A 25,047-nucleotide genomic window follows, 5' to 3' on the forward strand; every position below is an offset into this window, starting at 1 on the left:
AAAAATAAGTACTGGAGACTTCAATGCTTTTTCTTGTTTCATTGATTATTAGAGATAAGTAGGAAAAGATGAACACATTATTTGCAGAATAAATCAGTAGAATCTCTTCAACATCTACTAAACCATACTTCTTAGTATGATTCAAGGTACTGACTTTTGATATTTCATAAATTGGGATCTAGTTCCCTTATATGCCCTTATGAAAGTTATTAATAACTAGAATATATCTCATCCTGGTATATAATCTTACCTTCCTGTGGGTTTAATTAATGAAGAATTTATTTTATTTCTATTTTTAATTTATGATTGAAAAATTAAATTTGTTGCAATACTTGGTACACTTACCTTATCTATATATGACACATAAGATGCTCCTGTTTTTTAACTGCAAAAATAGTATAACATTAAATCCTGGTAAGTTAAAAGACTATGCCTTTTTATTTTAATATCCACATGGTCACATTAGATAGAGGTAAAATATTTTAGCCAGAAGATGTGTACACTTCCCAATCTACAGAGTTATCTATTGAGGAGCCAGTAAGAAGTCTAAAGTGGAAGATTTATTTTTAATTTACTTCTGCATCTGCAATAATGGCTGATTTTTACAAAGTATTATAGCAGCAGATAAGGTAATTGTGGTCTCAGAAAAGAAGGCAAGGAAACTTCCTGTTCATCTGTTTAGCATGGATCTAGATTTTATACTTCTTGACTCAGTTATTCCACCAACTTAAGAAGGGGCATCCTAGCATCATTCTTTAATCTGGCCTGTCCTCAGATGTTGGTATTGTTTTAGTATGGCCCTATCTCAAAACTGCTATCCCCAAACAAAAAAGTATGCAGCTAGGGTGTTGTACAGAGATCACTTTATCTAGAGTTTAAAGTCAGGACTGGTAAGTAATCTCTGCTACTTACGTAATGTGTAACACTGAGCAATACTTCCTCTCCTTGCTCTTTTCTTTCTGCACATGTAATACTGGGGATAATACCTGTCTAACAGAATTATAAGGATCAAGTGAGCTAATAAATTGCTAGCATTTAATAGCTAGCTTCTCAGTAAATATTTATACTCTATAAAGTCTTATGTTTCTACTCTAATGTAATCCTGTATCTTCAATGTTTGGAGAGTGTATACCCACCTAACTTCTAAACTTTCTGAACCTTATGTAAAATTAAAGTGAACAACTCATCCCCAGTTGTTCTGAATAAATAAATCCAACTGTCTCATATAAAATGGAGGCTTTGGATTTTCAGAATAGAGGAGTTCACCATAAAAATCACGTTTGAAACCAATCACAGCTTTTCATCAGGATCCAGTTTTTTCTCCCTTCAAACTTTTAATATAAGCCAAGGCTCTTGAACTACCTGATCACTGGCTCCTTTTGATTTGACCAATACCTTAAGTAAGTTCAACAGACATTTATTGAGAAACTGCAAATTATGAAGGAGGTGGCTAAAACCTTTTTAATAAGGAACATTAGCTCTCTTGACAATCTGGAGAAAGAAACTGACCCTATAATTCATTACAGTTTTAATGATAGTAGATGATTTTTCCTGGTAAAGATATGGGATGTCTATAGCTATTTCTCTAGGAACTCTGTAACTTCATTCAACCAGTTAGCCAAAGACAATTTAAGAAGAGAGTGTTAAAAGAAAAACTTTAGACAAATTAAGTTATACAGAGTTTATCTGAGCAAAGGATTCATGAATCAGGCAACGTTCAGAACCAGAAAAGGTTCAGAGAGCTCTGCCCAGCAGTGGATGTAGGCAGCTTTTATAGGCCAAACAAAAGCAAAGTAGAGAATTCATCTGATTGGCTACAGCTAAGCAAATACCTTATTTAGCATGGTGTGATTAGTTTGCTGCCTAGGATTAGCTGAATCTCAGCTGTTTGTAACTAGCTGAAACCTGGCTGTTTGTTACAAAAAATCTCCTGAATTAGGCTTTGGTTTGTTTACTAAGTTAGGTAGCAGTTTGTTACTAGGAACTCAGAGTAGGGGGACAGCCTTAGGCTAATGGCCTCCTGTTTGTTTAACAACAGTGTGTTGTTTGATTTAATGAATTTCTTAGTCTTAAATTAAGCCATTGAATAATTTGGTCATATTGTCACCTACTCATGGAAATGGATCCCTCTCATAATTGAAGATCTTAAATTTATTTCTCTTTACTATGCTGTTTATAAAATATAATTTCGTTTATTTATCGATCACTTAGACCTGGCAAGATTAGTTAGACCCGGCAAGCTATGCTGGATTTTATATCTTTTCCTATATTTCAAACATGATATACATGTTTGAAATATATGCTTTTATAGTAAGCCTAACATGCTTTAACAATTTAACATGATACCATGTAAAAGCCTGTAATACTTTAACTTTAAAAGCCTGTCATGCTTTAACAATGTAACATGATATATTAAATATTTAAAGCATGACAGGCTTACTGTAAAAACCGAACAATAAATAAGTGTATAAAACATGTTCCTTTAACACACACATAGAATAATTATTTACTTATTTGTTTCCAGTAAGTTCTGTTTTAATATCTTTATATATATGTAAAGTCTAGGTCACATGAGTTTGTTAAATAATCCTGGTAGGTTATCTGTTACATAATCTTCATAATCTTATTAGATTATTGCCTAACTCACCCATTCTTATCCCAAAAGATCAGATTCGTTGTCATCATATTTATATTTTCTACTTAAGCTTTTTTAGTCTTTTCAAATTATCATTTCCCAATTTGGCCATAATTCACATTGCAAAATTATTGAGAATCATGAGCTCTTACATGCTTTCATGATCTACTATTTAGGCTTTTAATTTTTTTTTTTTTTTAATGGAGTCTCACTCTGTCGCCAGGCTAGAGTGCAGTGGCACGATCTCGGCTCACCACAACCTTTGCCTCCCGGGTTGAAGTGATTCTCCTGCCTCAGCCTCCCGAGTAGCTGGGACTGCAGGCGCCTGCCACCATACCCAGCTAATTTTTTTTGTATTTTTTAGTAGAGATAGAGTTTCACCATGTTGGCCAGGATGGCCTCGATCTCTTGACCTCATGACCCACCCAAAGTGGGTCTTTGGCCTCCCAAAGTGCTGGGATTACAGGCATGAGCCACCGCGCACGGCTGGCTTTTAATTTTTTATAATGACTTTCACTTCATATGTATTCACAGTTCTCTTTCCCATTCATGTCTTTCAAATATTTTTGGAGTAGGAGACCCTAACTGCAGAAATCTTTTACAACTTGTAAACTGGGCATTGACATAACTCATATATGCCCTTCCCTGTTAGGCTTTCCTTGCATCCTTCTGTTGATTTTAATAAATTAAGAGAATATAGATATTCTCCTGTAGCAAATGATTATTTTGTTCCTTAGACATATTTCTGTGAAAACAAAGAACAAAAAGTACATATCTGTCTCGATGTACATTCATGTGCTTCTGTATATACAACATACATATATTTGTTTTTGGATAATGCTCATCTCCTTCTATGTATCACACTGTCTGTTGCCCAATGACTACTGGATAAATTATTATTAACCTTAACACAATACTGGGCAAATGCATAGATTAATCATTTATTACTTCTGATTATTGATATAAAATATAAGATTGTAGAAAATTAACAAATTCAGGATTATTTCTGAATTTCCTTTTGATTTGCCTTTACTTGATATCCAATCTCATGTATAGATGTTTATATTTAAGGTTTAAAAATGTTCAAATAGTTAGATGTTGAATTTAGTAGATTTTCCCAAATGCCCATGACATAATTCCTACAAGTTTAATTTAAATTATGTTTAACAATGGCTGGGCACAGTGGCTCACATTTGTAATCCTAGCACTTTGGGAGGCCACAGCGGGCGGATCACTTGAGGTCAGGAGTTCGAGACCAGCCTGGCCAACATGGTGAAACCGCATCTCCACTAAAACTACAAAAATTAGCCAGGCATGGTGGCTGACACCTATAATCTCAGCTACTTGGGAGGCTGAGGCAGGAGAATCACTTGAACCTGGGAGGCAGAGGTTGCAGTGAACCAAGATCGTGCCATTGCACTCTAGCCTGGGCAACAGAGTGAGACTCCATCTCAAATAAATAAGTAAATAAATAAATATTATATTTAACAATGGAAAGGTAAAGATTAAACTACAGATTTTTGTATAATTAGAATGAATGACTCTTACTGTCTTGGGTTCTTATTTTGATTAAACTACTTGTATGTAAAAAATTATCTTCTGAGAAAGTAATAGCTGTTAATTGGATTAATGTATCTGCTGAGTTACTTGCAATCTTACTGTGTGATGTTAATGAGTCTAGGATTCTAAGATAGGGCTTAGTTATGGCCTTATAAAGACAGAACTCTTATAGATCAGTTACCGTTACCGCATGACTACAAAATGTTTGTCAGATGGAGCTGTCAGTCACATTGGAAATCAGGTAAAAATGAGGAAACCAAACCCATTCTTAGCCATTACTGAAACAACTGAATTTGTTTCCTCCTAGATAGTGGATTTGTAGTCATTTTCATGCAAAGAAGATATTGTAAGGTACAGTTCTTAATATTTTATTAATGAGGTACTTAATTTTGGGTTGTAATGTTTATTATTGCTTCAGAACATCATCTACCAAATTCTATTTCCATATTCATTGGCATTTGGTTAAGCAAAGTTATAAACTCAGTAATTGTTCACTAACTGTGACAAATTAAAGGGGAGAAAGGCTCTAACACCACTTTGGATTCAGAAAGTGATATTCTAAAAAGAACCTCAGTAGGTCACGCAGAAAGCTCATTTCATGTTACTATTGTCAGAAGCTGCTTTTACAGAGTTTTTTCCCTGCAGTGGGTTGTAGTGTTGGAGATTATTGTAAATGTGTACTGTCAGATTTTTTCAGTCCTTACAATATTCAGATGAATTCTATGTCTTTTTGCTTATGGATATTTTATACTGTTTGTAACTATTTCTATATATAATTTTTTTAAATTTAGAAATACTAACAAGTTTTCTTATGATGAAAAATCAGTGTCAGAAACTCATCTTGAGCTATCATTCAACTTAAAAAGTAAGCCTCCTACCTATTGGGCACAAAAAAAATAATTTGGAAAGGAAATGTATTTATAACTACTTTTTAAATTCCTATGTTCTTGCTTTCCTTTCTAGCTAAAAGAGGTAAGATTTTGGCCGGGCGCAGTGGCTCACACCTGTAATCCCAGCACTTTGAGAGGCCGAGGCGGGAGGATCGTGAGGTCAGGAGATTGAGACCATCCTGGCTAACACGGTGAAACCCCGTCTCTACTAAAAATACAAAAAAAAATAGCCGGGCGTGGTGGCAGGCGCCTGTAATCCCAGCTACTCAGGAGGCTGAGGCAGGAGAATGGCATGAACCCAGCAGGCGGAGCTTGCAGTGAGCGGAGATCGCGCCACTGCACTCCAGCCTGGGCGACAGAGCGAGACTCCGTCTCAAAAAAAAAAAAAAGATTTTAATGAAAATCAAGTGAGATTTTCTGTGATACGATTAAATATAGTTTACATGATCTGTCTCATTAAACAAGGATATTCTTGGAGAATGATTTCTTTCTTTCCTTTTTTTTTTTTTTTTGAGATGGAGTTTCACTCTTGTTGCTCAGACTGGAGTGCAGTGGCACGATCTTGGCTCACTTCAATCTCTGCCTATCAGGTTCAAGCGATTCTCCTGCCTCAGCCTCCCAAGTAGCTGGGATTACAGGCATCTGCCACCACGCCCAGCTAATTTTGTATTTTTAGTAGAGATGGGGTTTCTCCATGTTGGTCAGGCTGGTCTTGAACTCCCGACCTCAGGTGATCCGCCCGCCTTGGCCTCCCAAAGTGCTGGGATTACAGGCACGAGCCACCACGCCCGGCCGGAGAATTATTTCTAATAAAATAGGAAGCCAAATCTTTTCTTCCTATACTAGGGAGTAGATAGCATAGTATTTAAGGAGAGAGAATTAGAGCCAGACTAACAGGTTTAAATCTAATCTCTTTGTGACCCAGTTTATTCTGCCATAAAGTGCAGATAGTAATAATTCTAGCTTCTTATGGTAGTTGTGAGGATGAAATAAGTTCATATATATAATATATGTAGACAAGTGCCCAACATATAGTAAGTGCTATATAAATGTTAGATATCATTTTTATTGCACATTACATAGCTCATATAAATGTTATTTGTTGTAATCATCATAAGTTTCCTGCAATAGTAGAATTTTCTGGTAGTTAAAAATTATTTTAAATAAGGACTTTAATACTATAAGCATTTAAAAGTCATCAAATTATAAAGTGAGAACACTGTATTATAAGCTGGTAAAGTGATTCTGTCACCTCATTCTTCATTTCTTAGAGGGAAAAACAAATATTTACCTGTTGTATATTCATTATGAATATATGTTGTCCATTCGTTATGAAATCCTATAAAATCTTAATAAAATTGATGGAGAATATGTACAAAAGCAATTAAAAATAACTTGTTTTGGTAAAACCTATTGGGCTTTGCCTTTTTTTTAAACAGTCAATCTAGTTTGTTATTCAGTTACTAAAGTAAATTCTTTCCCCCCCTTCCTCCCCATTTTGAATGGAGTCGTGAATTAACATAAAATGGAGACTACATATAAGCATTCAAATCACATTTAATATACATATTTCTGAAAACCTGTAACTAAGTCTACTTTTGTGTATGTGACTAGAGATAACTGTGAAATAGATAATTTAAATTACATGTGCATTCCTATAAAAATTATTGTAAAATATATTTCTAGGAAATTAGATGGTGTTTGGCTACCTTAGGAAATAGATATTGAGGCTGAAAAACATATTCTTTCCCTAGACCACTTATATATGGAAATAATAATTTTGTCCTGTTATGTAAAATGTAACACCAAAGCTGCAATTATCTTTTGAGTTGGGATTATCCTGAAGAACCAAATATGAGGAAAGGTTAATAATAAGCTTTCATTAACTTTCCATTTGTAACTGAATTTATCATCTAATATAATTAACTTTTTATTAGCTTAATAGAAAATGGGCCTCAAAATAGCAACTAGATGAGAGTTTAATCGTCTTGATGTATATTAATACAAACAGGTATTTTATTACCCAGCAGTTTTTAAACTTCTTAATTACAGGAATTTGTAATAATAATTTGTTTTTGTTGCTATATAATCTGTAATAATGTCAAGGCCATCTGTAATAATGTCCAGGCACTGAAGAATTCTGAAGTGCTTAAAAGACACTAGGTCATTATTGTTATGCCAATTTTATATCTTCATTAAGAGTAATCTGAAGATTTTTTGTTCTTTGAAAATTGGTAATAACCAGAAGTTCCCATTTCTTAACCATCTATGTAATCAAAAATTGGTATGAAGATTATGTCTGACAAACTCTTTTTTTTTCCTGTTTTCCAATGGATTAAACAGATATGCCTTGAAAGATGATAGAAAGTATAATGGAGATCATACTGAAGCCAAGAATATGAAGCAAAATTTAGGAGAAATGCTGGGGAGAATTTTAACCAGAAATTTAACATATTGAAAACCATTAAATAACCACTCAAGAAATTATTTTTTTGTGAAAAGAAATTCAAGTAGTATTTCATCCTTGCTTTACAGGAAAAGTTATCAAAGTCTTGACCAGTTATCAGCAGAAGTTAGCCTTTCTCAGACTTCACTAGATCCAGGCCAGTCACAAGAAGGAGATGGAAAACAAGACACATTAAATGTAATGAGTGAAGGTAAGAAAACAAAGAACTATTTGAAAATTACTCTTTTCCTGTACCATCTATATTTTGGTTGCAGATGATTGCCAGAGAATAATAGTGACATCTCTGTTAATCATGCTAGAAATTAAGCAGCCATTATGATTAAAAATGGTCTGCCTTTGTGTCTTTCTCGTGTGTGTGTGGGGGGGGCTAACCTTCTCAAAACACTTGTCTTTGTTACCTTCATTTACTCACTTCCTGTACTTTTTTTTACCCCTGCCAATCTAGCTTTTGTGTCACTTCAATAAAAGGACTCATCAAGGTAATCAGCTATTAACATATTGCAGAGAACTGCTAATGTCAGTTCTATCTTATTCCATTAAACTTCTCAGCAGCTTTTGACACAACTGACCACTTCCTCATTCTTGAATCACTCATGGTACCTGGTTTATTGAGTATTTTAAAAATCTTCAGGAACAAACATAAAAGTGTTTTATTTTTTCCTATTACTGCTTTCAGATGTGCAATATCAGCCTCTCTTCCCATTGGGTTGCATCTTCCCAACATCATTTGGTCCAATTCCCTAACTTTTCAGGCTAGTTTGAATTATATGGTCCCATTTCAGTTTCTAAGACTCAACCTATTGGTTTTAAAACCAGTCATCTATTTGGTTCAAAGCTCTTTTCTTTCTCTCCTTCAGCATAGGTTAAAGCTGTTACTCCAGCACTTTGGATGGCATGAGTTCACTGGTATGATCTGGTTCTCAATCTTTTATCTTTCTTTCTTTCCTCCCAGTTTACAACTTCAGGTATATATGAGAGCTAGGGGAAGAAAGATAATCCCCTACCTCAGGGGAACCTGCATTCCCTTAAGCCTCCAATTTTTACCCTGCCTTCTCTCTTGCAGTAAATATTGGCACTATAGCCATTATCCTAGATTCTATTCTTTCTCCTTACAATTACAGTCAATTTATAAACAAGTCCTGTCAGCTCCCATATAAAACATGCTATATACATTTACTCATAATCTTCTCTATTACTGCAACCTTAGTCTCTGCCACTTGGAGCAAGCTGCTTGCCCCCTCACAGTCCATTCTCCATGTAGCAATCAGTGACCTTTAAAAACTTAGATCAGAAAATATTATAAGCCTGCTTCAGACTCTCCAATGGCTTTCAATGGCAATTAGAATAAAATCCAAACTGCTTTTCCTAGCCTCCTACTTGACCTTGTTCTTGCCAGCATCTGCCTCATTTCATACCATTCTTTTCCTTGTTCTGTGTACCATAGCAAACTGACCTAGCTATTTCTTCAGGCTGGTTCCTGCCTTGACTGTCTTTGCACTTGCTTTTTCCACTGCCCCAGAGCTTCTTTCTTAAGGCCTTTGCGTGGTAGATTCTTTTCAAATGTCATCTTTCTAAAGAAGCTTTCACTGACTGCCATACTGTAAATAGCCACCCCCATCCCCATCTCTGTTCCCAGCCCATGCCAGGCATGCTCTATCATACTGCCATGCATTTTATTATGATTCTTGTCTGTAAACCCCCTCTGAACTGTAAGGTTCATGAGGGTAAAAATCTTATCCATCATTTTCACCAGTGTATGAACTAGAGTCTTGACACAAAATAGGCAACTTATTAAACATTTATTGATCAAGTAACCATATAATGACATAGGATGTGAGGAATAAAGTAGAAATTCATTTAACTAGCAGGCTTAGGCAGTGTAAATATTGTGTCGAACTGAATTTTCTGCTTTCTTTAAGTTGGTTGTTGAAATGTTCTCAAAGGGCCTTAATCTTAATATTTTAATATTTTAGTACTTTTTTTATAAATCCAATAGTAACTTGGATTCACTGTCATAATCCATAATGAGTATATTTTAAAAGCTAATTCATACTATGAATGAATTTATTTATGATGATTCTTCATCTAAAAGACATTTAGGATTTTATTCTAATTTTTAATTATAGGTATTTTGATATCAACAGGACAAGAGTAATAATGAGCATTTTGACACTATAAAAACAACTGTATTGTCTTCAATAATTCAAGGTTTAATAGCAGATTAAAAGTTACTTACAGAGTTTCCATACCCAATTATTTAATAAAATGAGTAAAAATTAACCAAAAATCTACCAACTGCCACCCAACAAGAAAGGAGGCTGCATGATATAATAGACTACAAAAAACTGGTGATCAGGAAGGAAACATGTTCTCATGATGAGTTAGTAAGACTCCTAGAATTCTCAAATCTGATTTTAAAAAACTGAGGAATTTTGGACAGTTGAGACAATGGAGTGATGCAGGTTTGAATCAGCATATCCTATACAAATATAATAAGAGAACAAATAAAACCACACAAAACCCAAGCTTTCAGCATAAACAGCAGACATTAAATAAACTTCAAATTGCCTGGGAGTAGAAAAATAAATACCAAATACAAGCAGGCTCTCATGCTCCTGTAACAAGCTGTGAGCACAGGGGTGGAGGAAAAATTAAACTGTGCAAAAGAAGGAATTGGGATGTTTGTGGCAGGCTTAGATTGATCAAAAATCACCTCTAGAAAGATAAAGTCAACCCTAAGTGTGAACATATGAAAACAGCATTCTGGTAAAGTACATGTGGGATGCAGAGAAGCAGTGTTAAGAAGGTAAATTTAAAGCCAGAAAAGCCATACAGTAAAAACAAACAAACAAACAACAACAACAACAGCATACTTTGGCACACTGATAGGAGGTACTTCCGGCAGCACTCCTCTCAAGGGGGAACGAGCTATGGGGAGTCTGTCCCTTGCAGACCCCTGACCCAGCGACAGATGCATAAAGTACACAGACACACAGATATTCTGCTATGCCAGTCCAGCTGAAGGTCCGAGCTGCTTACGGGCTCTCTGCTGAGTCCTGTAAACAGTTGTGACTCGGCCCTGATCAGCTAGTCCGACTGATTATTCAGTAAGATTAACAAAAGCTTGAGTCAACACCATTAGAGGGTAATTGACATTGTGGGCTTCCTGAGTAAAAGGTACTTAAGCACCCAGGGTACACCAAAGGTTAGTCTTAGAAGGCCATTACATAATGGTAAAGGGATCAATTCAACAAGAAGAGCTAACTATCCTAAATATATATGCACCCAATACAGGAGCACCCAGATTCATAAAGCAAGTCCTTAGTGACCTACAAAGAGACTTAGACTCCCACACAATAATAATGGGAGACTTTAACACCCCACTATCAACATTAGACAGATCAACGAGACAGAAAGTTAACAAGGATACCCAGGAATTGAACTCAGCTCTGCACCAAGCAGACCTAATAGACATCTACAGAACTCTCCACCCCAAATCAACAGAATATACATTCTTTTCAGCACCACACCACACCTATTCCAAAATTGACCACATAGTTGGAAGTAAAGCACTCCTCAGCAAATGTAAAAGAACAGAAACTACAACAAACTGTCTCTCAGACCACAGTGCAATCAAACTAGAACTCAGGACTAAGAAACTCACTCAAAACCGCTCAACTACATGGAAACTGAACAACCTGCTCCTGAGTGACTACTGGGTACATAACGAAATGAAGGCAGAAATAAAGATGTTCTTTGAAACCAACGAGAACAAAGACCCAACATACCAGAATCTCTGGGACACATTCAAAGCAGTGTGTAGAGGGAAATTTATAGCACTAAATGCCCACAAGAGAAAGCAGGAAAGATCCAAAATTGACACCCTAACATCACAATTAAAAGAACTAGAAAAGCAAGAGCAAACACATTCAAAAGCTAGCAGAAGGTAAGAAATAACTAAAATCAGAGCGGAACTGAAGGAAATAGAGACACAAAAAACCCTTCAAAAAATTAATGAATCCAGGAACTGGTTTTTTGAAAACATCAACAAAATCGTTAGACCGCTAGCAAGAATAATAAAGAAGAAAAGAGAGAAGAATCAAATAGATGCAATAAAAAATGATAAAGGGGATATCACCACCGATCTCACAGAAATACAAACTACCATCAGAGAATACTACAAACACCTCTACACAAATAAACTAGAAAATCTAGAAGAAATGGATAAATTCCTCGACACATACACCATCCCATGACTAAACCAGGAAGAAGTTTAATCTCTGAATAGACCAATAACAGGATCTGAAATTGTGACAATAATCAATAGCTTACCAACCAAAAAGAGTCCAGGACCAGATGGATTCACAGCTGAATTCTACCAGAGGTACAAGGAGGAACTGGTACCATTCCTTCTGAAACTATTCCAATCAATAGAAAAAGAGAGAATCCTCCCTAACTCATTTTATGAGGCCAGCATCATCCTGATACCAAAGCCGGGCAGAGACACAACCAAAAAAGAGAATTCTAGACCAATATCCTTGATGAACATTGATGCAAAAATCCTCAATAAAATACTAGCAAACCGAATCCAGCAGCACATCAAAAAGCTTATCCACCATGATCAAGTGGGCTTCATCCCTGGGATGCAAGGCTGGTTCAACATACGCAAATCAATAAATGTAATCCAGCATATAAACAGAACCAAAGACAAAAACCACATGATTATCTCAATAGATGCAGAAAAGGCCTTTGACAAAATTCAACAGCCCTTCATGCTAAAAACTCTCAATAAATTAGGTATTGATGGGACATATCTCAAAATAATAAAGAGCTATCTATGACAAACCCACAGCCAATATCATACTGAATGGGCAAAAACTGGAAGCATTCCCTTTGAAAACTGGCACAAGACAGGGATGCCCTCTCTCACCACTCCTATTCAACATAGTGTTGGAAGTTCTGGCCAGGGCAATTAGGCAGGAGAAGGAAATAAAGGGTATTCAATTAGGAAAAGAGGAAGTCAAATTGTCCCTGTTTGCAGATGACATGATTGTATATCTAGAAAACCCCATTGTCTCAGCCCAAAATCTCCTTAAGCTGATAAGCAACTTCAGCAAAGTCTCAGGATACAAAATCAATGTACAAAACTCACAAGCATTCTTATACACCAATAACAGACAAACAGAGAGCGAAATCATGAGTGAACTCCCATTCACAATTGCTTCAAAGAGAATAAAATACTTAGGAATCCAACTTACAAGGGATGTGAAGGACCTTTTCAAGCAGAACTACAAACCACTGCTCAATGAAATAAAAGAGGATACAAACAAATGGAAGAACACTCCATGCTCATGGGTAGGAAGAGTCAATATTGTGAAAATGGCCATACTGCCCAAGGTAATTTACAGATTCAATGCCACCCCCATCAAGCTACCAATGACTTTCTTCACAGAATTGGAAAAAACTACTTTAAAGTTCATGTGGAATCAAAAAAGAGCCCGCATCGCCAAGTCAATCCTAAGCCAAAAGAACAAAGCCAGAGGCATCACGCTACCTGACTTCAAACTATACTACAATGCTACAGTAACCAAAACAGCATGGTACTGGTACCAAAACAGAGATATAGATCAATGGAACAGAACAGAACCCTCAGAAATAATGCCGCATATCTACAACCATCTGATCTTTGACAAACCTGACAAAAACCAGCAATGGGGAAAGGATTCCCTATTTAATAAATGGTGCTGGGAAAACTGGCTAGCCATATGTAGAAAGCTGAAACTGGATCCCTTCCTTACACCTTATACAAAAATTAATTCAAGATGGATTAAAGACTTACATGTTAGACCTGAAACCATAAAAACCCTAGAAGAAAACCTAGGCAATACCATTCAGGACATAGGCATGGGCAAGGACTTCATGTCTAAAACACCAAAAGCAATGGCAACAAAAGCCAAAATTGACAAATGGGATCTAATTAAACTAAAGAGCTTCTGCACAGCAAAAGAAACTACCATCAGAGTGAACAGGCAACCTACAAAATGGGAGAAAATTTCCGCAACCTACTCATCTGACAAAGGACTAATATCCAGAATCTACAATGAACTCAAACAAATTTACAAGAAAAAAACAACCCCATCAAAAAGTGGGCGAAGGACATGAACAGACACTTCTCAAAAGAAGACATTTATGCAGCCAAAAAACACATGAAAAAATGCTCATCATCACTGGCCATCAGAGAAATGCAAGTCAAAACCACAATGAGATACCGTCTCACACCAGTTAGAATGGCGATCATTAAAAAGTCAGGAAACAACAGGTGCTGGAGAGGATGTGGAAAAATAGGAACACTTTTACACTGTTGGTGGAACTGTAAACTAGTTCAACCATTGTGGAAGTCAGTGTGGCTATTCCTCAGGGATCTAGAACTAGAAATACCATTTGACCCATCCATCCCATTACTGGGTATATACCCAAAGGACTATAAATCATGCTGCTATAAAGACACATGCACACATATGTTTATAGCGGCACTATTCACAATAGCAAAGACTTGGAACCAAGCCAAATGTCCAACAACAATAGACTGGATTAAGAAAATGTGGCACATATACACCATGGAATACTATGCAGCCATAAAAAATTGAGAGTTCATGTCCTTTATAGGGACATGGATGAAACTGGAAACCATCATTCTCAGCAAACTATCGCAAGGACAAAAAACCAAACACTGCATGTTCTCACTCATAGGTGGGAATTGAACAATGAGAACACATGGACACAAGAAGGGGAACATCACACTCCAGGGACTGTTGTGGGGTAGGGGTAGTGGGGAGGGATAGCATTAGGAGATATACCTAATGCTAAATGACGAGTTATTTGGTGCAGCACACCAACATGGCACATGTATACATATGTAACAAACCTGCACATTTTACACATGTACCCTAAAACTTAAAGTATAATAATAATAAAATAAAATTAAAAAAAAAGATCACATGTGTAAACAAGCTAGCTAGCTAAACTACTCTGCCTTTCTTTATTACTATTTTAATTTGTTTAACTAAAGGTAAAGGGATCAGGCCACCTTTAGCCAGATCTATTACCAAAGTTATGCAAACCTCTGGCCTTCCAAGATGATTTATGTCCATTTCTATAACTATCTGTAATATTTTTTCCACAAGCCTGATTGAACCCCAACAGGTACTCTTTTTAAAATTTCATAAACCATCCAAGTCACATAGCCCTTTCCATAGAAATCCTGAGGAGCAAACACACTGTCTATGCAAAACTATTTTTTTTCTTTCTTTAAAATTGAGTATCTTTATTTTTTATTTTTATTTTTTTTAATTTTTTTATTTCCATAAGTTATTGGGAAATAGGGGATGTTTGGTTACATGAGTAAGTTCTTTAGTGGTGATTTATGAGATTTTGGTGCACCCATCACCTGAGCAGTATACACTGCACCCAACTGTAGTCTTTTATCCCACATCCCCTTCCCACCCCTTTCCTCTCAGTCCCCAAACTCCTTTGTCTCTTTCTTATGCTTTTGCATCCTCATAGCTCAGCTGCCACTTATGAGTAAGAAAATACGATGTTTGGTTTTCCATTCCTGAGTTACTTCAGTTAGAATAATAGTCTCTAATCTCATCCAGGTTGCTGTAAATGCCATTAATTCATTCCTTTTTATGAATGAGTAGTATTCCATTTCATATATATACACACACACACACACACACACACACACACACATATATATATACACACTCACCTACATACATACATACATACCAGTTTCTGTATCCACTTGTTGATTGATGGGCATTTGGGTTCGTTATACCTTGCAAAACTAATTTTAAAAAATCACATAAATTGAGAAAAATAATTAAGCCAATGAACTTCACCACCCAGGAAAACAATAGTGAAGCAGGAAAAAAGATGTTATAAAGCCATATAATTTCTGTATCCTATTAAAGTAACTTTTAAAATTGATACATAATGGATATACATATTTTGGGGGTACATGTGATAATTTGATACTTTCATAAAATAAAATCATATAATTTTATTAAATATCCTCCAACAAGCAATTAGTCATAAGACAGAAACATTTCAAATTGGAAATCAAAACCTAAGAACATCAATGTCTAATAAAGAAGAAGAAATGACGTGTCATGTGAGGAACCCAGTGGGAGGTGATTGCATTATTGGGGCAAGTCTTTCCCAGGTTGTTCTCATGATAGTGAATGAGTCTCACAAGATCTGATGGTTTTAAAAAGGGGAGTTTCCCTGCACAAGCTCTCTTGTCTGCCACCATGTGAGATGTGCCTTTCACCTTCCACCATGATTGTGAGGCATCCCCAGTCACATGGAACTGTGAGTCCATTAAACCTCTTTTTTTCACAAATTGCCTAGTCTTGGGTACGTCTTATCAGCAGTGTGAAAGTGGACTAATATAGTAAATTGGTACCAGTAGAGTGGGGCACTGCTGAAAAGATACCCAAACATGTGGAAGGGACTTTGGAACTGGGTTAACAGGCAGAGGTTGGAACAGTTTGGAGAGCTCAGAAGAAGACAGGAAAATGTGGGAAAGTTTGGAACTTCCTAGAGACTTGTTGAATATCTTTGACCAAAATGCTGATAATGATATGGACAATGAAATCCAGGATGAGGTGGTCTCAGATGGAGATGAAGAACTTGTTGGGAACTGGAGCAAAGGTGACTCTTGTTATATTTTAGCAAAGAGACTGGCAGCATTTTGCCCCTGCCATAGAGACTTGTGGAACTTTGAACTTGAAAGAGATGATTTAGGGTATCTGGTGGAAGAAATTTCTAAGCAACAAAGCATTCAAGAGTGATTGGGTGCTGTTAAAGGCATTCAATTTATAAGGGAAGGAGAGCATAAAAGTTCAGAAAATTTGCAGCCTGACAATGTGATAGAAAAGAAAATACCTCCTGCACATGGTGAAACCCTGTCACTACTAAAAATACAAAAAAAAATTAGCTGGGCATGGTGGCGGGTGCCTGTAGTCCCAGCCACTTGGGAGGCTGAGGCAGAAGAAAGGCGTGAACCTGGGAGGTGGAGCTTGCAGTGAGCCGAAATCACACCACACTCCAGCCTGGGTGACAGAGCGAGACTCCATCTCAAAAAAAAAGAAAGAAAAAGAAAATACCATTTTCTGAGGAGAAACTCAAGCCAGCAGAGATTTGCATAAGTAACAAGGAGCCAAATGTTAATCCCCAAGACAATGGGAGAAATGTCTAAGCCCCAAGCCTTGGCAGCTTCCACGTGGTGTTGAGCCTGCAAGTGCACACAAGTCAAGAATTGGGGTTTGGGAACCTCTGCCTAGATTTCAGAAGATGTAGGGAAATACCTGGATGCCCAGGCAGAAGTTTGCTGCAGGGGTGGGGCCCTCATGAAGAACTTCTACCAGGGCAGTGCAGAAGGGAAATGTGGGGTCAGAACCCCCACACAGAGTCCCTACTGGGGCACCACCTAGTGGAGCTGTGAGAAAAGGACCACTGTCCTCCAGATCCCAGAATTGTAGATCCACTGACATCTTGCATCATCCACCCAGAAAAGCCACAGACACTTAGCACCAGCCTGTGAAGGCAGCCGGAAGCGAGGCTGTACTCTGCAAAACCACAGGGGTGGAGCTGCCCAAGACCATGGGAATCCATCCCTTGCATCAGCATGACCTGGATGTGAGACAGGGAGTCAAAGGAGATCATTTTGGAACCTTAAGATTTGTCTGCCCTGCTGGATTCTGGACTTTCTTGGGGTATGTAGCCCCTTTGTTTTGGCCAATTTCTCCAGTTTGGAACAGCTGTATCTACCCAGTTCCTGTACCCTCATTGTATCTAGGAAGTAACTAACTTGCTTTTGATTTATAGGCTCATAGGTAGAAGAAACTTGCCTTGTCTCAGATGACATTGGACTGTGGACTTTTGAATTGATGCTGAAATGAGTTAAGACTTTGAGGGACTGTTGGGAAGGCATGATTAGTTTTGAAATGTTAGGACATGAGACTTGGGAGGGGCCAGGGGAAGAATGATATGGTTTGGCTGTCCCCACCGAAATCTTATCTTGAATTGTAACTCTCACAATTCCCACGTCATGGGAGGAACCTGGTGGGAGGTGATTTAATTACGGGGGCAGATCTTTAGTGTGCTGTTCTCATGATAGTGAATGAGTCTCACGAAATCTGATGGTTTTCAAAAGGGGAGTTTCCCTGCATAAGCTCTCTTCTCTTGTCTGCTGCCATGTGAGATGTGCCTTTCACCTTCCACCATGATCATGAGGCTTCCCCAGTCACGTGAAGTGTGAATCCATTAAACCTCTTTATTTCATACATTTCCAAGTATCAAGTATGCCTTATCAGCAGCGTGAAAATGGACTAATACAAGGTATCTAAAGAAGAATGGATTTGAAAGAAAACTTAATCTAAAACACTGAAGAAAAATGGGAAAACAACCAAGAGAATGAAAATGAGATAAAGAAAGAAGTAAAATGAGTTAGGAAGTGGTTGAATTAGAAAGGCAAGAATATCAAATTTACATGTTTATAGAGTCACTGGAGAAGATAAAATAGTGGAACAGAACTAATACCAAAATCTATCATTCAAGAACAACGTTTGGAAGTAAATGAAGACATAATATACAAATTGAAAGATCTAACCAAGTACTAAAGAAAATTTGCCTGAAGTAATCACCTACAAGACAAATTCTACTAAAATTATTACATAGTAACAATAATGAAAACATACTGGTGACTTCCAGGCAAAAAGATGAAACAAACTAGAAAGGGAGAAAAGAATGAAGTTGGCATTAGATTTGTCTAGTTGTATAAAGGTAACAACTAGAACTAAAATACAAACCTTCCTAAATAATTTTTTTAAAGCAAATATGTCATCTAGAAAGAGAAGCATAGCAAATTTAACAAAGCAAAATAATTTGTCACAGCAGAGAGCCTATCAAAAGAAATTAATGAAATGGCAAACAACATATACCAAGGAGAGAAACAGTAAATATAACTATATACATAAAATTACAACAAAATTATGATTTATTCTGAATGGCTAAATATAAAGGAATAGACAAATATGTAACAGGCAAATAAAAATACAAACAAGGGGCCAGGCATGGTGGCTCATGCCTGTAATCCCAGCACTTTGGGAGGCTGAGGCGGGCAGATCACTTGAGGTCAGGAGTTCGAGACCAGCCTGACCAACATGGTGAAACACTGTCTCTATTAAAAATACAAAATTAGCCAGGTGCGGTGGTGGGCCCCTGTAATCCCAACTACTGGGGAGGCTGAGGCAGGTGAATTGCTTGAACCTGGGAGGCCGAGATTGCAGTGAGCTGAGACTGCGCCACTGCACTCAAGCCTGGGTGCTAGAGTGAGACTCTGTCTCAAAAACAAACAAACAAAACCAAAAAACACAAAGCAGGGTAGCAACCCTTATATCAGATGGGTAGATTTTAAACCAAAATGCATTAAGCATTACAAGGAAAGATATGTTTTAATGCTAAAAAAAATTAAGATATAACAGGATTATACAACAAATAATGATATCCCCCTTTATATAAGGAAACAGAAATCCAGTGACAGTTGAAGACATACTATTCTCAGTATAAGACAAATCAAATAGACAAAAAAGAATATAATACACCTAAACAACATAATTACTAGGGTATATCTTATGCTCTATGGAACTTTATAACCTGAAAATAGATAATATAACTTCTTCTTAAGTACAGATAGAACAGTCTCAAAAATGTTCAGAAGTTAGCTCATAAAGAAAACATAAGCTGGGTGCAGTGGTGCATGCCTGTAATCCCCCAGATACCTGGGTGGATTGTTTGAGCCCAGGAGTTCCTGACCATTCTGGGCAACACAGACCCTATCTCAAGAGAAAAAAGAAAGCAATAAATGTATAAAGTAAAATATTACAAACAGTATTCTCTAATCACAGTGCAAAAGAACCCTAGAAATTATTGATAACTTTTTTTTGTTGTTCAAAAGGGCCCCTCCACCTGGGTATAAACCCATCAAACAACTTGTGGGTAACAGGGAAATATAAGCTGAAATTAAATTTTCTTTTTTAAAATTATTATGTTCAGTAATTATTATACTGTCTTTTTTAAATATCAACTTTTATTTTAGATTCAAAGGGGTGTATTTGCAGGTTTGTTACATGGGTATATTGTGTGATGCTGAGGTTTAGGGTACAATTGATCCCATCACCCAAGTAGTTAGCATAGTACCCAACAGGTAGTTTTTCCACCCTTGCCCCCCACCACACCTCCCCTTCTAGTTGACCCCACTGTCTACCACTGCCATCTTTATATCCATGAGTATTCAGTGTTTAGCTCTCACTTATAAGAGATTATATGTGGTATTTGGTTTTCTATTCCTATGTTAATTCACTTAAGATAATGGCCTCTAGTTTCATCCATGTTGCTGCAAAGGACATGATGTCATTCCTTTTTTATGGCTGCATAGTAGTCCATGGTGTAGATGTACCACATTTTCTTTATCCAGTCCACTGCTGATGGGCTCCTAGGTTGATTCCATGTCTTTGCCATTGTGAATAGTGCTATGATGAACATATGAGTGCATATGTCTTTTTGGCAGAATGATTTATTTTCTTCTGGATATATACCCAGTAATGGGATTGCTGGGTCGAATGGTAATTCTGTTTTAAGTTCTTTGAGAAATCTTCAAATTGCTTTCCACAATGGCTGAACTAATTTGCCAGTAAATAAAAAGGGATTAACAAATGTGTAACAGGCAAATAGAAACACAAAGAAAGCAGCGTAGCAACCCTTATATCATGTCATTTGGTTTAAAATATCAGATTGTAAACCAAAATGCATTCCCTATTCTCAGTCACTTTGCCAACATCTGTTCTTTTTTGACTTTTAAAATAATAGCCATTGTGACTGGTGTGAGATGGTATCTCATTGTGGTTTTGATTTGCGTTTCTCTGATGATTACTGATGATGAGCATATATTCATGATTGTTGACCACTTCTGTGTCTTCTTTTGAGAAGTGTCTTCGTGTCTTTTGCTCACCTCTTAATGGGGTTATTTTTTGCTTGTTTAATGTTTAAGTTCCTTATAGATTCTGGATATCAGACATTTGTTGGATGCAGAGTTTACAAATATTTTCTCCCATTCTGGAGGTTGTCTGTTTACCCTGTTGATAGTTTCTTTTGCTGTGCAGAAGCTCTTTAGTTTAATTAGGTCCCTCTTGTCAATTTTTGGTTTTGTTGCAATTGCTTTTAAGGACTTACGTCATAAATTCTTTTCCTTATGTTTTATTTTTCTGCATATGGCTAGACAGCTATCCCAGCACCATTTATTGAATAGAGAGTCTTTTTCCCATTGCTTACTTTTGTCAACTTTGTCAAACATCAGATGGCTATACATGTGCAGCTTTATTTCTGGGTTCTCTATTCTGTTCCATTGGTCTTTGTGTCTGTATAACAGCACCTTTCTATTTTGGTTACAGCTTGAAGTTAGTTGATGTGATGCTTCTAGCTTTGTTCTTTTTTATTAAGATTGCTTTGGTATTTGTGCTTTTTGGTTCCATATGAACTGTAGGATTTTTTTTCTAATTCTGTGAAAAATGATGTTGGTACTTTAATGGGGATAGCAGTCAATCATGCAATTTGTTCTGTAGGTTTCTTTGGGCAGTATGGTCATTTTCACAGTATTGATTCTTCCAATTTCTAATGGTTTTAGGATCTTATTTGTATCATTCTTGAAGGGCAATTAATTATTTGCTATTTAATTCTAATTTTCAGGTAAGGAAGATACTCCCTCATTACTTGGCCTCTGTGGATCTCTAACGTCAGTGGCAAGTTACAAGTCTCTAACAAGCTTAAAATCTAATGACTACCTTGCAAGTCCTACAACAGAGATGACAAGTCCAGGCCTAACTCCATCCTGAAAATTTTTGTGTAAAAGCCAAAACTTTTTATGTTGTAAATGTTTAATTTACATGTTTGACTGCTGGGAAGACCTTTGAAATTTTATATTGTTCTGGTACATGTCTGAAATTCTATTGCTTGGAGAGAATCCCCTCCAGATAAGAGATTTTGAGTGAAAAACATAATGATCCTGCCATTTTTCATTTTTAAAATTCTTACATTTGTCATTGAGAAAGTTCAAAATGGAATAGGCTTTAAAAAAAAAAAAACTTTCAAAGATCCGCCAAATCATTCATAGCAAATTGTACATATTGTTCAGCTGATTTTTATATATTTAAATACACCTTAGTGGCCAGAGACTGACTTCAAGGTTTTATTCCAGAGACTCCAGAGACTTAAGCTAAGTATTTTTTCATTCTTTCAGATTTTCAAAAAAAAAAAAAAAAAAAGTTAATTTCATTTTTTCATTAATGTCTTCCTAAGTTCTATGCTTTAAATGCCTTGTTTTTAATAACGGGAAAGTTCTCAGCTGCATTTTCACAGTGGCTTATTCAGTTTTTCTTTAATATTTACCATTTGGTATCAATTCAGCATTCCACTTAACATTTTATAAATTCCATAGGAACATGCCTGTTTTGGTAGTTACTGACTTAATTTGTTAGTGCCACAAGGAAAATATTTTACAGTATTTTATGCCATTTAGGCAAAATGAATAAACTGTTTTCCAAGATTTTCTTAAAAGATTATCAATTTAAAAGTATGATCAAGTATGCCTCAAAAACTAGAAACATTTCAAAATGTAGAACAAACGTTGAAAAATTGTTTTGCCAGGAAAGAGTTCAAGTTCAGTTAAGGATTTGAGAGGCTTTTAAACAAGGATCAGTAGGATAGTTATCATATTTACTTAATATATGTCTGATATTCAGTGCTGGTTCTTTTTCCTGTTTGTGCAACAATGAAGTGTGTCATGTGTGTTTTATAGCCTCTATCATTAATCACACCAGAGTCTCATTTTAAAACATTTTAATGTTAAAACATCCCCACACTTATACACAGGTAAAATTAGTTTTTTTTTTTTTAAAGTTGTAATCTGTACTTTTTTTTTTTTGCAATTTTTGAAACAGCTACATTAATCCCTAAAAATCCCACCATACTGAAAATGTATGGCGTGTATTTTCTATAGTAAGTAATATGAGGAAAACATGATTAGCTGTGCCAAAGAAATTTTATACATTGTTTACATGATGAGGCCACAGTACTTACTGAGGACTTCATATGGTTTTTTTGTTTATTATTATTGAGAAAAGAGCTGAGGTTACCACATTCATTCTTTGTGTTAGAAATGTAGGAGTGTGGTGGTTTTCTGCAATATTTAGAGCTTAGTCTCATAATTTGGAATTTAAGATAATAAGTAGTAACAAGGCAAGTCTTTTATGTAAGACAGTCAAACAGTGTCACTTCAGGGACAAAGGCCTGGAAGCCCTTAAAATAAGTTATCTTAGATGTGCCAGAACATATTCAGAGCTTTATTCCTTTAAGCTTAAGGCTTCAATACTTGTAGAAATGCAAATATTCTTGAGAAATGATACATTTTTTGTTCTCAATTTCTCAATTCTACATACCTGATTATGAGTGAAGTATCCAAAGCAGGTTTTCATCAGCATGGGGGATGGAAGGTAGGTATAATATGAGGACAATGGAAACTTTGGGAGAAGGGAGTGAGGAAATGGATAAAGAGAAATTTGAAAATTTTAGGCTGGACTTGAGCACTATTGCTGCTTTCCTATGAACTATCAGAATGTTTAAATGCTTTATCATTCATGGTCCACTCTCAACCAACATTTATTATCCTTTAGTAATTAAACAATGGTTTTACATACATTTTTATAATGTAGAAGGAAATTCAAGATTCCATAATCGTAAAATTTTTCAGATTTGTCTAATGTGTAATTTGTGCATCTTCACATGCTGCTAAATGCAGATTTAAACATTACATCTGAGGATCATGACTTTTCCTCCTTTCTTGGAGATCTTGGTATAAAATTCATCTGCTGTTATAAAATCAGGTTTCTACAGAGTTCGTTTCACACTAAAGGTAGTTTGTTACTGTTTGCATGAGGAAACCATGTATGTCTCAATCTTTAATTTTAGGTGGTAGTGTTTATTGTTCACCCTCCCTCTTGCCTCCAAAAGAATGCTGAATTATACGCCAATATTTCCATGTGTATTCTGTTGCCTTGATGCGTACTATACTTGTTGCATGTATATTAAAAATTTTGTACTATGCATTGGTGGTCTTATTTTGCTTGACAAAAAGTTACCTGATTTAAGTACACTTAACTTTTGTTTCAGCAAATGTGGTAAATATATATTATTTCACACCTAAAATACTAACATGAAAATGGAATGGGAGAAATCCTTATTTCAACTCACATCAAGTTAAATATCCTATTTTTTAAAAGTAACATGATATGCTTTAGAATACACAACATCTATTCAATCAATCAGTACAGTTTAGTAGTGGTTCTGGCAGTGTTACTGATTTAATTATAAAATAGTCATGTTTGTTTTCTCACCTGTAAGAATCATCACTATCTTCTTGGCACCTAAGAGATGGCATCAGGATGATGTAAGCATTAAATAAAATCATATATAAAAGAAGTTCTAAAGAGATAAATGCCAAATGCAAGCTACTACTAATTATGAGTGGCAGAAAAAGTAGATCATAAGTTAGTTGTTAAATCATTAGATTTACATACAGTTTTAAGTGGTTATCAATGTGTCCCAAATTTACAACTTAGAAAACTGCTTTGTTAAAGTTCCTATCATTAGATGAAATGTGCAGATTTTGCTAAACTAAACTAACATATTGGATTACCACTTAAGTGTCACAAGACTGTTGTTCATTCTGCTCTTCTGAAAGCAAAGCAGCTTCGATTTAGTTTTAGCATTTGTCATTTTAACTGATTGATAGGAAAGGGAAGCTAAAATTACCTCTTTTTCATTATGGTACATTTAAAAAGCATATTTTAATACAAACCAAAACTTTTAGATTTTAACATAGATCACCTTATCATAAGCCCCATTTTCCATACTGCTGGGTATCTTCCAAAACCCAAGTCTAACTAACTGTTACAACTTTGCCAAAAAGTTTTTCCTAGGTTTCTCACAGCCTTCTTGTTCCTCCTTAAGCGCACAAGGCCTTAGATTACATTTCCATGTTTACACTTTCCCATGTATACACTTTGTTCAAGCCATATGGACTAAATTCTATTGCCTTATTGAGACTCCCACTTCCCTGCATGTTTACTTATTGGATTGCCTGTCTGTCAGTCCAACTCAGGTTTCCTGACCACTCCCCTTCTCTGCCCCCAGGCTGAGTGAACAACTCCCCATATTTCCCATGACTCCCTTTGTATGTTTCTATCAATCACTCAATCATAGCTCTGAAACCTCCTGTGGCCAGTAACAATATCTGAAATATCTTATCATCTCCAGTGCTTTTTATATACTGCCTACTACATAAAATGTCCCAATAAATGTTGACAGATTAAATA

General features: G+C 36.1%; 1 protein-coding gene across 8 annotated transcripts in view, besides 1 other annotated feature; it reads left to right on the forward strand.

Annotated features, from left to right (window-relative positions):
* Window positions 1-23,776, forward strand: part of RUNDC3B (RUN domain containing 3B) — a 203,899-nt gene extending 180,123 nt beyond the window's left edge. For all 8 annotated transcript variants that reach the window (NM_001394228.1, NM_138290.3, NM_001394224.1 and 5 more), the window contains 2 exons: window positions 7,621-7,742; window positions 21,365-23,776. In NM_001394228.1, coding sequence (NP_001381157.1) covers window positions 7,621-7,742; window positions 21,365-21,510 — 268 coding nt within the window. In that variant the 3' untranslated portion in view covers window positions 21,511-23,776. The remainder of the gene's footprint in view (window positions 1-7,620; window positions 7,743-21,364) is intronic.
* Window positions 10,411-10,912: an enhancer, noted in NCBI's record as "NANOG hESC enhancer chr7:87448246-87448747 (GRCh37/hg19 assembly coordinates)". NCBI's record gives its function as "activates a minimal SCP1, AML or CMV promoter by ChIP-STARR-seq in primed H9 embryonic stem cells {active_cell/tissue: H9 hESC(primed)}" and the evidence as "EXISTENCE:reporter gene assay evidence [ECO:0000049][PMID:30033119]".
* Window positions 23,777-25,047: the final 1,271 nt, after the last annotated feature.

Source organism: Homo sapiens, chromosome 7 (genome assembly GCF_000001405.40).
Source record: "Homo sapiens chromosome 7, GRCh38.p14 Primary Assembly".
Taxonomy (NCBI): Eukaryota; Metazoa; Chordata; class Mammalia; order Primates; family Hominidae; genus Homo; species Homo sapiens.